This window comes from Homo sapiens, chromosome 9 (assembly GCF_000001405.40).
Source record: "Homo sapiens chromosome 9, GRCh38.p14 Primary Assembly".
NCBI lineage: Eukaryota > Metazoa > Chordata > Mammalia > Primates > Hominidae > Homo > Homo sapiens.
Window position 1 is genome coordinate 69,236,567 of NC_000009.12, and position 13,851 is coordinate 69,250,417.

Genomic DNA, 13,851 nt, shown 5'->3' on the forward strand with positions numbered 1-13,851 from the left:
CGGTGCCCAGTCTCCATCCTTGGAGAGGTTTATGCACCCCAGTGAACACTTGGTGTTTGGCTGACAGTGCAGGAACCTAGAAAAGAGGCCTGTATTTGAGCAGGAGTTCCAGGTGTGTGTACTGTGTACCTGCATATCAGAATGGGCCAAATTTCACATGTTTATTGCTGAGCCACTTCTGGGAGATTTCACAGAGACCCAGCCTTTTTCTGCTCCCATTTGGAAGTGAAGGTCCCCACATTTCCCACCCTCTGAAACTTCTTCATTGTCAAGCGGAATCTTCTCTGAGCTCAGAAGTAAAATTGACTGGATTTGATTAATGAAATGCATGTTAGCTGCGTTTTCTGGCTTTAGAGATTTACTTCCCGTGGTTTCTTCTCAGAGCTGAACAAATGGCCAGTGTTCAAAATGCCCAGAGAGACAACGCTGGGGACCGGGCAGATTTCTGGAGAATGCGTGGCCAGAGGTCTGGGGTGAAGAAGAACCTGAGGAAAAGTCGGGAAGACCTCACAGCTGTTGTGTCTGTCAGCACCAAGTTCCCAGCTTATGAGAGGGTTTTGCTGCGAGAAGGTGAGGAAGTCACATGGGGCCTGGAAATGAACTGACTGGGCTCTGAGCCTGTTCACCTTTATTTTCAGACTGTATGGTCAAGTTCTAACTTATGTATGTCAGTTATGCCAAAGGCAGTTTATAGAGTTGAAATCAAATTCTAACAAGGAGCATGATTTATAAAAAGCTGTTTCAGTTCCTAAATTGAGGCTTATTTCTGCAACTTAAAAAATGTTTTAATACCACTGTTCAAGAGTTTCGGTATATTGGCTGGGCACTGTACCTTATGCCTATAATCGTAGCACTTTGGGAGGCCAAGGTGGGAGGATCACTTGAGCTCAGAAGTTCAAGACTAGCCTGGGCAATATAGTAAGACCTCATCTCTGCAAAAAATAAAAAAAGTTTCCATATATTATCAATGGGAAAGTTTGTGTTTAAAAATGGTGAGGAGCTAGGCAGTGTAGTCCCAGCTACTCAGGAGGCTTGAGCCTAGGAGTTTGAGTTTAGTCTGGGCAACATAGTGAGATCTTGTCTCTTAAAAAAAAATCTAGGTTAGCATGTGGTTGAATGAAAAGAAAAAAATTGTTTTAAATGGTGAGGATAGTGAAGGCATATTCTTCAGAACAGAGCCAAGCTGAATTGGGGAGAAACCACAGTTTCTTTCGTTTAGTTATGTTATCAAAAGCCCATACAATACTTTTACTGCTTATCATAACAGCTAGGCAAGTGTGTATGCTTTAATGGCCTTTCTTGTCATTTCAGCTGGTTTCAAGAGACCTGTGGTCTTATTCGGCCCCATAGCTGATATAGCAATGGAAAAATTGGCTAATGAGTTACCTGACTGGTTTCAAACTGCTAGTAAGTCTGTCAGTGTTTTTTTTTCCCCCAAATTTTTATTTTGAAAAATTTCTAACAGAGGAGTTGGAAGAATCATGAACACCCACGTACCCTTCACCTGGAATCACCAGTTGCTGACATTTTGTCACGCATTTTCTCTCACCCACTGCCTGCACCATAGACACACATACACACACACATACACATACTCTTTGAAAAATTTCTGCAGAATCATTTATAACACTTTATCCCTGAATACTTGTGTGAATCTCCTAAGAACAAGGACTTTCTCCCACATAACTGCAATACCATTATCACAGCCAAGAAAGGTAACATTGATGTGGTGTGATTTTGTATATAGTCCATTTTCCACGTTTTCTTAATTGTCCTAGTTATGTGCTTCATAGCTTTTTTTTAAATTCAGAATACAACCAAGGACCATTCATGACATTTGATTTTTATGTCTTTTTGTGATTTTTATGTCTTTCCAGTCCCCTCTTTTTTCTAAATAACTTTGTTACACTGATATTTTGAAGAATCCAAGCTAGTTGTCTCCTAGAATGCTTCCTGTTGGACTGGCCTAACCGTTTCTTCATGATTAGATTTCCACTAAGCAGGTTATGTGGGTCCTTCCCACTGAATCTTGTTAGGAGACACTTAATGTCAGGTGTGCCATCATTGCTTGATGCTAGGTGGGAGTATTTGGTTGTCACTGTTTTCTAAACAATTATTTAGCTTCCTGTTTTTGCTTTTGCAGAAACGGAACCAAAAGATGCAGGATCTGAGAAATCCACTGGAGTGGTCCGGTTAAATACCGTGAGGCAAATTATTGAACAGGTGAGAAAATTCATCCACAGACCGTGTTTTCAGAAAGAATTAGATTATGGTTTGCTGCAGTCACTTTTAGGATAGTATCTGTACTTTTAATCATTAAATGTTAATAATAAAAAATTGGCCGGGCACAGTGGCTTACACCTGTAATCCCAACACTTTGAGAGGCTGAGGCGGGTGGATCACCTGAGGTCAGGAGTTCGAGACCAGCCTGGCCAACATGGTGAAACCCTGTCTCTACTAAAAATATAAAAAATTAGCCGGGCACAGTGGCAGGTACCTGTAGTCCCAGCCACTCAGGAGGCTGAGGCAGGAGAATCGCTTGAACTCAGGAGGCGGAGTTTGCAGTGAGCGGAGATTGCACCATTGCACTCCAGCCTGGGCGACGAGTGAAACTCCATCTCAAAAAAATATATATATAATGTAAATGCAAACCGTTTCACTGTGTGGAAACCAGTCACTGTTGGCAGTGAGCGGAGATTGCACCATTGCACTCCAGCCTGGGCGACAAGAGTGAAACTCCATCTCAAAAAAATATATATATAATGTAAATGCAAACCATTTCACTGTGTGGAAACCAGTCACTGTTACTGTTCTCTGGCAGTAACATACTGTTTTTTTTTCCAGAGTTCCCAGCATTATACCAAATAATGTGTTAATTCATTTTATCAGAAGTTCTAACACATTGGTAATATTGAAGTGGGCATTAGGTAGAAGGAAATGTGTTCTGCTTCTTGATTTAAATTTACAAGATAGGTGGCTCATGCCTGTAATCCCAGCACTTTGGGAGGCAGAGGCGGGCGGATCACCTGAAGTCAGGAGTTTGGGACCAGCCTGGCCAACATGGTGAAACCCTGTCTCTACTAAAAATACAAAAATTAGCTGGCCATGGTGGTGGCGGGCACCTGTAATCCCAGCTACTCAGGAGGCTGAGACAGGATAATTGCTTGAACCCGGGAGGCGGAGGTCGCAGTGAGCCAAGTTTGTGCCACTGCACTCCAGCCTGGGCAACAGAGCAAGAATCTATCCCAAATAAGTAAACAAACAAACAAACAAGATATATCTCATACAGCCTTTACTTATTAAAACAAAGTATTTGATGCTATATTACTTTATATATCCATTTCTCTAACTTTTCCCCTTTTGTAAACAGGATAAGCATGCACTACTGGATGTGACTCCGAAAGCTGTGGACCTGTTGAATTACACCCAGTGGTTCCCAATTGTGATTTTTTTCAACCCAGACTCCAGACAAGGTGTCAAAACCATGAGACAAAGGTTAAATCCAACGTCCAACAAAAGTTCTCGAAAGTTATTTGATCAAGCCAACAAGCTTAAAAAAACGTGTGCACACCTTTTTACAGGTAAGTGAAATGTAAATGTAGTCCCTTTGCTAAAAAATGAGAAATAAAGAATTGAAGAGTAGAAGAAATAATTAATTAATCTGAATGGAGAATTTGAAATTGTGTTCATGACTCCTTGAAAAATAGTTAATCCTATAAAATGGGATATTAGGCCAATGGCATTTATATATTGAACTTTGTAATTTTGTCTATTTGAAAATGACCATAAAGATCCATGATGTGGTAATAATTAGCTATTTTGATGAAGTTCATATTTTCCTGTGAGACTATAAGGCTAGTGATTGAGCCAGGCCAAACACCTATGTCTCTCTAGAGATTGTGTCATTGTTCTCTACTCACCATCAATACATGCATTAACTTACAAAGCGAAAGGAACTTGGTTTCATTATTTAAAAATATTCCTGTCCAGCATGGTGGATAACACTTGTAATCCTCCCACTTTGGGAGGCCAAGGCAGGAGGATCACTTGAGCCCAGGGGTTGGAGACCAGCCTGAGCAACATGGTGAGATCCTGTCTCTACTAAAAGGCCTAGCATGGTGGTGCATGCCTATGGCTGAGGTTGGAGGATCGCTTGAGCCAGGAATTCAAAGCTGCAGTGAGCTGTGATGGCACTGCTGCACTCCTGCCTGGTGACTGAGTGAGACCCTGTCTCTTCAAAGAAAAAAAAAAAAATCTAGAAACTTGGACACTCTGAATATTGGATGATTTAAAGATTTATTATTTCTCTTTGTTAGGTGTGATAATAATATTGTGATTTTTTTAAAAACAAAGTTCTTTGAGGAATGCATACTAAATAAAATATTTATGGTTGACCTAATATAATGTTGAGAATTTGCCTAAATAGTCTGCAGTGAGGGGAGTAGATGGGATTATAGACAGGACAAGACTGGCCAAGACTTGGTAGTTGTTAGTTGTTGAACTGGTTGATATGTACATCGGAGTTCATTAAACTGCTATCTGTACTTTTGTACATATTTAAAGATTTACCTAATAGAATATATTTTTAAGTCCATGAAATGAAGAGCCATTGCTATTACTCATGAAAGTAAAATGGTCTAAGAACATGACATATTTTAGTAACAATATATGCACTGTCTATATAAATGATTAATTCTGTGCATATGAGATTATTAAGAGTTTTAAAGGGTTACATAAATTTTGTGGTCATGCAGGGCATTATTTTGTTGGGGCAACACGAGGAGACTGCAAGGATATGATATCCTTAGGATGAGGATAGCTCATTGAGTTCATTGCCCATCATCATCCACCCATGTCATTTTAGTGTATCTCTGATACTGGAGAGGAAGGGGTGAATGATTGTGTTCACATTAGATGCTTGTTTTAGTGTAACTTGGTTTTTCTTGTTAAAGAGAGGTGCACTACTTGCCACTGTGGCCAAATGGAGAGAGTTTAACCAAATGCAGAGGAGGAAGTGGTCCATCATAAACTAGATTTCTGTGAATGTAGTCTTACGTACTCATACTCTTGGTATATTTATGAATATCCTTTCTGTCCTTTTTACTACTAGTATTATAATTATTATGATTATTACTATTATAGCAACAGTAAAGAGTGGTACAGCCTTCCATGTGTGCTGTCTTATTAGGCCATAAGAAAGGCCAGCACTTTTGCATAATCACAATTCTGATGTATGACTGAGCCCAGACTAAACTATAGCGTCCCTAACTGTCCAATATTGTACATATGTTACAGCACAGACATATTCTAATCCCAAAAGGGGTCACGTAATGCAGCCCTTCCTTTTGACAGATTAAAAAACTGAAGCCAAAGTGATTATAAATGAAGTTAAAACTATCCCCACTTTATTTTCCCCCCTGCTTTTGTCTGAGTACACTAAATAGCGAGCGTCTTCCCTCAGAGAGTTAAATTTGGGATTCACGTGAGGATGTAGGAAATCGGGAAGGGAATTACAGTGCATTGTAGAGGAAGAACTAGGCTGAAGGCGGCTGGACGAGGAGAGCAGGGCAGAAGAAGGCAGCCAGTGACTGTGGGGCTCTCCCTTGATCTAACCTGAGTCCGCATCATTTGCTCTTGGGAGCACAGGCCACGGTAGCTGGCTGAGTGTGAGTAAGAATCTAGAGGGGTCCATGTGTGTAGAAGGGGTTAGCAACACCTCTGTTAGCTCCATAGATGGATTTCAAGATCCTTGAAGGCAGAGCCTGAACATTTCCCAGCGTTGTGTGCCTGAGGCCAGCATCAGGACTAGCACATGGGCAAGGCATAAATGTTTGTAACTTACATTAGAACTGCCCCTGGCACACCAAGCCATTTCTTGCCTAAACTCATCAGGAAGTTGAAAGTTTTAGAATAACTCAAGTCAGAGATTGGAATGGAAGCACACACTGTAAGCATTGAGTTTCATCTAAAACATTGAAGTGATCTTATCTCACCAGAAATTGCCAATCTCTTATGTAGAATTGTACAGTCTTCAGGATAGATGGTGCAGGGTGTGCAGCAACTTTGACCAGCAAGCTCCAATTTTCTAGCAAGTGGTCTTTTACAGTACTCTTCCAGACTTCAAAGTTTGACTCCCTACAGCTGTGTGGATGACTGCACTAATAATTGCTTTTATTCCCCATCTCACCCTCGTCCCTCTTAGCTTGACCAGGTTTTGACTTGAGGCTGTGTGCCATGTCCAGAAACACTAGTCTTTACATTTGAGCAGTAGAATCTTCAGGCAGAATTAGTATTTTATAGTTTTTGTTTGTTTTTGAGACATAGTCTCCCTCTGTCGCCCAAGCTAGAGTGCAGTGGCACGATCTCGGTTCACTGCAACCTCTGCTTCCTGGGCTCAAGGCACCTTCCCTCCTCAGCCTCCCCAGTAGCTGGGACTACAGGCACACACCACCATGCCTGGGTAATTTTTGTATTTTTTCTGGCAACAGGGTTTACCCATGTTGCCCAAGCTGGTCTCAAACCCCTGGGCTCAAGCAATCTGCCCGTGTTGGCCTCCTAAAATGCTGGGATTACAGGCATGAGCCACCGTGCCTGGCCTATTTTGTAGGCTTTTAAAATGATTTTAAGTGTATGGCATTTTTGTGAGTTAGTAGTTGAGAATAATAGAGTGCTTTGATGAACACAGTAATTTGAAGTCAAGCTTTATGTTGCATTAGTCTCTTTAGGCTCAATATCCTTTTGTTTTCCTTTTTGCAAAGTAATAAGAAAGCTCCTCTTCCTCACGAGTATTTAATTATGACAATATGAAAATAGTTCTCCTTACAAGTCTTACAGTACTTCTCAGTTAAACAAGAGAAGCTTTATTCTGAGATTTGCCCAAAGGCAAGTTGACTTGTCATAATAAGTTTAAGTGTTAGGTTTGCCTCCCCTACTACCAATTTTTAAAAATTTTCTATAAAATACATTTGCATATCACAAATTTTTATTTTTAAAAAACAAACTTTGAATTACATGTTTTCTTGGAATCTTCAAAGTACTCAGTGCATGGTTCGAAGATCATTTAAGTTGACTTATGGATTTAGAGACCCAAGTGGGGCTACCCTTTTATGCTAATTATAGAATTTTAATTCCTGATTTCTCAAAGGATTATATAGACTAGCTAGTTGACCACAGAAAAGAGAAGGAAGATGCTGGGCCCCCTAGCTGGATACCTTTGCTGTTGCATGCCCATTTAGAGGGGGTCTAGCGTGCCACTGTTAACCGAGCCACGTGAAAAGCTTTATTGAGTTTTGACTTAGATACCATATAATCCACCCATTGAAAGTATATAGTTCAGCTGGGCATGGTGGCTCACGCCTGTAAATCCCAGCACATTGGGAGGCCAAGGTGGGCAGGTCACTTGAGCTCAGGAGTTTGAGACCAGCCTGGGCAACATGATGAAACCCTGTCTCTATTAAAAATAAAAAAATTAGCTGGGTGTGGTGGTGGGTGCCGGTAGTCCCAGCTACTTGGGAGGCTGAGGTGGGAGGATCACTTAAGCCCGGGAGCTGGAGGTTGCAGTGAGCCGAGATTGCACTACAGCACTCCAGCCTGGGCGACAATGAGACCCTGTCTCAGGAAAAAAAAAAAAAAAAAAAAAAAGTATGCAATTCAGTGGGCTTTAGTATATTCAGAGTTGTACAGCTGTCATCACAACCAATCAATCTTAGAACATTTTTATCATCCCCAAAAGATACCCCATACCCATTAGCAGTCATTCCCCATTTCTCCCTTTCCCTAAACCCTCTAGTCTTAGATGTTACCTTTTGCTGTCGCTCTTGGTGCTTCCAAACCTCCTTGGCTGGGGAGGGGGAGGTAGCACTGACCATACATGTCAGGGCTGGGCACACGTGCCCTCAGAACCTCAGTATTCCCAACTAAGGCAGTGGCTGAGTCAGCATCCTTTCAGTATTTCACTTTCTTGAGCTCAAAAGATAGAGTAAGTCTATCCAAGGGGATATAGGCATAACCCAGAGGTTAGGAGCAACAGATAATTAACTACTATTGCTCTAAGGCAAAGAATCTGAGAAGCGGAATGAGAGAATCCAATAATAAGCTAAAGGTACTTAATTCAGCAGAGTCAAGGGAAGGCAGCTTCATGTCTGTGCACCTGCCTGTTAAAAAGAGGTCAAGTGCATGAGTTGGATGTTACTTTTATATGCAGCTTAGGAAGTTAGCTACTGTGAAGCTCTCAATTTTTATTCATAAACTTGACTGTTAATGTGAATTCAGTAAGAGCTTTTGTGATTTTCTTTATTTTATCAAGGGGCAAGAACATATTTCCTGCATCTCACAAAATGCCGTTTTAACTTTAGGTTTTCTTTATGATGAATGCAGACCATACTTATCTCAGACAGCTGCAACATAAAGCTTTAAAAGACTGCTTAACATTTTGTATATATTTAGTGTAAATCACTCATTTTGTCTCTGGGGTACAAAATCTCACTTCTATTTTTAAGTATCATATTTTAGCTATGAGATGAGCACAGTAATCTTTGCAGAGTACCATAATAGGAATAGAGAAGTCCGTGGAATCAAAGTTAATTTTCTTCGGGTTGTCTAATGGATCAGTTTATTTCAGTGCTGTAAATAATTAATAACCAAGGAAATTGTAAGCTCATTCAGGATTTTCTAAGGTCACTGTTAGAACTTCTTAAACAGAAGAAAGCTATGTTACTTGGAGGAAAACCTGAAGCATCATTGCTTACAAAATTTGCTTAATGGTTCTTTTTGGCTTTAGAAGTGATAGTACAATAAGAGGCCATGGCAATGTAGTTTAAAAGAAATCCTAATTTACCTGCAGTCTGATAATTTTAGGGGTACAATTTGTTATTTTGGACTAACTTGCTTGTCTAATTTATCTCCATTAGGTCCATAATACATATTGCTGAAGAAATGACATATGTTGTACTTTGTTGGTATTTTATATCTGTGCTCTAAATTTCTGTTTTTAGATGGGCCATGTAGTGTGGTGGCTGAGACCATAGGCTCTGAAAGCAGTTTTCTGAGCTTGCATCCAAGCTTCACACTTGCTTGGTGTGTGGCCTTGGGCTAGTTAATTTCACTACTTTACCTTGGTTTCTCATCTATAAGATGGGCATCATAGCAACACCTACCTTGCAAAGTTTGTGTAGTCGTGAAATGAGCTAATCCAGGTAAGGTACTTGGAAAGTAACTGGTTGATGCATAGTAAGTGCTATTATGTAAGATATACTTTGTTCTGAGTAGAAAATGTATATTCTTTGAATACACACTGGTTGGGTTTGTTTAATCTATATGTATATTCTAAAATGTGTAAGTCTATCAAAGTGATATACAGTCAGCTCTCCATGTCTGTGGTTTCCACATTCATGAATTCAACTAGCCGTGTATAGGAAATATTTGAGGGGTAAAATGGATGGTTACATCTAAACGTGCAGGGTTTTTTTCTTGTCATTATTCCCTAAACAATATAGTATAACAACGATTTGCGTAGCATTTACATTGTATTAGGAATTATAAGTAATCCAGAGATGATTTAAAGTATATAAGAGGATGTACATAAGTCATATGCAAATACTGTGTCATTTTGTATCAGATACTCGGCATCTGTGGATTTTGGTATCCAAGTGGGGGGTGTCCCGGAACCAATCCTCTACAGATACCAAGGGACAACTTTATGTTTAAGTGTTACTTTTAGTATTTTATTGGAGGTAGCCAATACAGTATATTAGTGTATACTAATTAGTGTATACACCTCAGCCTCCCAGAGTGCTGAGATTACAGGCATGAGCCACCACACCTGGCCGAAAACACATGTTCTTAAAAACATTTTTAAAAGTTAGCCTTTCTGAAAATAAACATTCTAAAAATCTATTTTTAGCTTTATCACATCCACCTATAATGTGAACTCAAACAGCTACATGATTAGTAGTTTTAATTGCATTCATTAAAAGGGTTTTAATATTCAAAGATGTGCAAACATCTTCTTGCGTCTGCCATAGTCTTAAATATCACAGAAATGAGTGTAAATTATGTCAAATAGCATCCTTAATAAACATGCCTCTGGAAATTAATGCAGACCTTTTTGTTTATATTTCTATAGCTACAATCAACCTAAATTCAGCCAATGATAGCTGGTTTGGCAGCTTAAAGGACACTATTCAGCATCAGCAAGGAGAAGCGGTTTGGGTCTCTGAAGGAAAGGTATGTGGCATAGATATGCTGCTATGAGGTGAGAGTCCCTGTTCTGAAACTTTTCTCAAGAGGGCAGTGAATGTAGTCAAGCCATGCCCATTTGAAGTGATGCTCACATGTGTGCTAATCAAGTTTGAAATTTCGTAAATTCTCTGACCAAGTAATAAAAATGAAGGGACTTTTAAAAGAAGAGCAGAATGTGACATGTGCAGCCCTACATTCACTTCCCTTTCACTTTTAATGTAGTAACTAGTGTTATATTCCAAGTACACTAATCAGAGCTTACAAGATCTCATGCTGAGCTCCACAGCTTACTAAGGACGTGGGAAACTTAGAGTGCAGATGAGAGGTGAGGTTGAGCAACTTGGAGAATACGGCTAAACATTAATAAAAAGAAAAGCTAATGGAGTTAGAATTACTTAGAAAATAAGGTTGGTTGAGAATGTGCCATCGTTCTGGGAGTTTGAATGGGTGATATGAGAACGTTAGGGAATTTGTCTAGGCCTCTAGAATTGGATCGCTTCTCCCTCGGGGAGATAGCTCACACACAGCTGTGCTGCAGGGAGGAGAGAGGGAGATTCTATTACCTGTGGCCGCTTTTATTTTAGAAGCTTTTGGTGTTAGTATCCTGTTCACCAGCTGAACTGAGGTAGTTTTGTGAGACTTGACAGTGACTATTTTGTTGCAGAATTGACTAAGTTTTGCTCTTTGAGAACTAGATGTGTAGTCAAAGTATCTGGCATCTATGGAGTGCTTCCAGTTTGGAAGGGGGATGCAAGCTTCCCTGGGGAGGACAGGTTGAACAGGACATAGCTTCTGCCTTTGAGGGTCTGAGAATCTTGTAGAGGCATGGATGTGAGTGTAGCACAAGGCAGCGTGCAATGTGTTGATATTACTAGGAGAGTGGTACCAGGAGAACAGGCTGCAGAGGAGCTGGATTCAGAAGAAAAGCAAGACAGACTGAGAAAGTGTGGCTTAGCCGCGGTATGGAGGATGGATGGTAGCACAGATAGGCTGCAGGGCCCCTAATTTGAGTTCCTGCACAAAAACGACCATAATATCAACATTGTACCAAAGCCAAGTGATCTCAGGGAGAAAAATAAAAGATGCCTTCCCTGGCGAGCACATCAAGGTTTCAGTCGCTTGGCTGTGTCCTTGGGAATTTTCTTGAGTCCCCACTCCCAGGAGCCACATCAGACCCCACTGACCGTCCAACACAAATTCCTCTAGATGGAAGGGATGGATGATGACCCCGAAGACCGCATGTCCTACTTAACCGCCATGGGCGCGGACTATCTGAGTTGCGACAGCCGCCTCATCAGTGACTTTGAAGACACGGACGGTGAAGGAGGCGCCTACACTGACAATGAGCTGGATGAGCCAGCCGAGGAGCCGCTGGTGTCGTCCATCACCCGCTCCTCGGAGCCGGTGCAGCACGAGGAGGTGAGGCGAGGCAGGCCACGGGCAGGAACAGGAGAGCCTGGTGTTTTCCTTGCACTCTCGTGGACAGCTGTGTGTTCAGGGTGCTGTGGAAGGCATTCCTAAGGGTTGGAGCAGATGACTTCCAGGGAGTCTCTCGCTTTGAGTCCACGCTGGCATGGTTGCAGTCTGTGGGAAAGTGGGGCAGGCAGGTGGACTTCAGAAGAGCTTGAGGGGTCAGCACTCCGCACACCCATGCCCTCAGGTGCGATGGATAAACAGAATGGCTTTAGGTGCCGTCTGTCCAAATTACCAGCGGAACCTTCCTTCCCATGCAGTATTGTTGTATGTACTTGTAACCTTTGATTAGGTTTCTCTCTGTACTCTTAGATGTCCTTGCTTTTCTTCCCCATCCTGCCTTTAACCTTTCTAATCTTGCCAAAGCTCTTGAGTGTTTCCCCATCAGTTTCCTTCTCTCTTATATTTCAGTTTTTTAATTGAGTTCATGATCAAACCTTCATCTGATCACATCACATGTACTGTGCATCCACTGTGATTAGATAGCTTATGGGATCCTTGAAATCACATTGACAGGCACTGTAAAGTCACAGCCAAGTTAGCAATTATTAGTTGCACCTCAGAGAATGTTGGAATAATGATCTTTGAAGATGGGATTGTTCATATATTTGGATAATTATTGCTGTGGATTTCTCTCTAGCATTTTAGCTCATTCCAGTAAATGATTTTTTTCTTTATGAAATAGAACTACCAAAAAAAAAAAAAAAAAAAAGTTCAACAACAACAAACTGAAGGGGGAGAAAAATACACCATTACCACAGCAACAAATTAGTTTATGCTAGACAACTTGTAAAGAATAAATTAACTTCCAAATGCCTATAGACATGGATATTAGTGACACAAGAGATTTTAGACTTTTGGAGGGTTCTTAAAAAATTGTGCTTTAAAGGAAGAGACTCTACATTGGATGCAGCCAGTTTTTAAAAATGTGTCTGAAGCATTTGGTGATGGTTTCTGCCTGTTCAGTAAAGAAGCACCGGCTCAGAACCTCAACTTCTGGACTTACTCAAGTTTGCAGAACTCCTCCAAAGCAGTCGAGTGCTCTGTTCTCTCTGCTTGGATGTTCTTGTTGTGAATGAACCTTTATGTCTTGTAGAGCATAAGGAAACCCAGCCCAGAGCCACGAGCTCAGATGAGGAGGGCTGCTAGCAGCGATCAACTTAGGGACAATAGCCCGCCCCCAGCATTCAAGCCAGAGCCGCCCAAGGTACGTGGCTGGGAAGCCCAGGATGGGAAGGAAGAGGAAGCAGATGCCTCTGAAGCCTCCTGGACGGCCAGGGAGGAGCATGCACACTGAGATGGTGTTTAATTACGGTTCTGACTCACTGTGTTCTCTATTAGAGCCTATCTTTTGGCCTGTTGGGTGAACTCCCAAATTAGGGAAGGGCAAAAAGGAAGGAAAGGCAATATTAGGAGAGCATATGATTTTAGGACTGTTAGTGTTTATTTAATTTACTCTTCTTGTTAAAAAAAGATTGTAAAGAAAAAGATTGAAAAATACTGTACTGTATACCCAGAATCACCAATCGCAGAACGTGTTTTTCTTTTGCTGTCCAGCTAAAGTTTTCTGCCCAGTCTGATTTAGATGCACCAGATAATTCTTACTGGTGATGTGCTAAAGAGAATAATCATCACCACTGCTTACAATGCCTCTCATTAAGAGAGCTGCTTATTTGTTTAATAAATCATTATCCAGAGCAGAATCAATATAAAGACACAAGGGCTTATATCAAAAGATTATTTACCTTTAGTCAGAATCAGAGCTGTGACTCTATGTTTTTCCTTATACCAGAATAAAACCTATTTAACTCAATAATTTATTATTTATTATTACTATTTTTTGAGACAGAGTCTCACTCTGTTGCCCAGGCTGGAGTGCAGTGGTGCAATCTCGGCTCACTGCAACCTCCACCTCCTGGGTTCAAGTGATTCTCCTGCCTCAGCCTCCCGAGTAGCTGGGACTTAGAGGTGTGCACCACTATATTCAGCTAATTTTTGTATTTTTAGTAGAGATGGGGTTTCGACATGTTGGCCAGGCTGGTCTCGAACTCCTGGCCTCAGGTGATCCACCCACTTCGGCCTCCCACAGTGCTGGGATTACAGGCGTGAGCCACTGCGCCCAGCCTAACTCAATAATTT

At 41.1% G+C, this 13,851-nt stretch overlaps 1 protein-coding gene across 20 annotated transcripts in view, besides 2 other annotated features; it reads left to right on the forward strand.

Annotated features, from left to right (window-relative positions):
- TJP2 (tight junction protein 2) overlaps nt 1-13,851 on the forward strand; it is a 133,945-nt gene that overhangs the window by 115,303 nt on the left and 4,791 nt on the right. For 13 of the 20 annotated variants that reach the window (XM_011519206.3, XM_011519208.3, NM_001369870.1 and 10 more), the window contains 7 exons: nt 383-570; nt 1,312-1,407; nt 2,144-2,223; nt 3,371-3,581; nt 10,124-10,224; nt 11,446-11,658; nt 12,809-12,919. In XM_011519206.3, the coding sequence (XP_011517508.1) occupies nt 383-570; nt 1,312-1,407; nt 2,144-2,223; nt 3,371-3,581; nt 10,124-10,224; nt 11,446-11,658; nt 12,809-12,919 (1,000 nt within the window). The remainder of the gene's footprint in view (nt 1-382; nt 571-1,311; nt 1,408-2,143; nt 2,224-3,370; nt 3,582-10,123; nt 10,225-11,445; nt 11,659-12,808; nt 12,920-13,851) is intronic. The other 7 variants (NM_001170414.2, XM_047424095.1, NM_201629.3 and 4 more) reach the window with 2 other exon arrangements.
- Nucleotides 5,214-5,714: an enhancer, noted in NCBI's record as "H3K27ac hESC enhancer chr9:71856696-71857196 (GRCh37/hg19 assembly coordinates)". NCBI's record gives its function as "activates a minimal SCP1, AML or CMV promoter by ChIP-STARR-seq in primed H9 embryonic stem cells {active_cell/tissue: H9 hESC(primed)}" and the evidence as "EXISTENCE:reporter gene assay evidence [ECO:0000049][PMID:30033119]".
- Nucleotides 5,715-6,215: an enhancer, noted in NCBI's record as "H3K27ac hESC enhancer chr9:71857197-71857697 (GRCh37/hg19 assembly coordinates)". NCBI's record gives its function as "activates a minimal SCP1, AML or CMV promoter by ChIP-STARR-seq in primed H9 embryonic stem cells {active_cell/tissue: H9 hESC(primed)}" and the evidence as "EXISTENCE:reporter gene assay evidence [ECO:0000049][PMID:30033119]".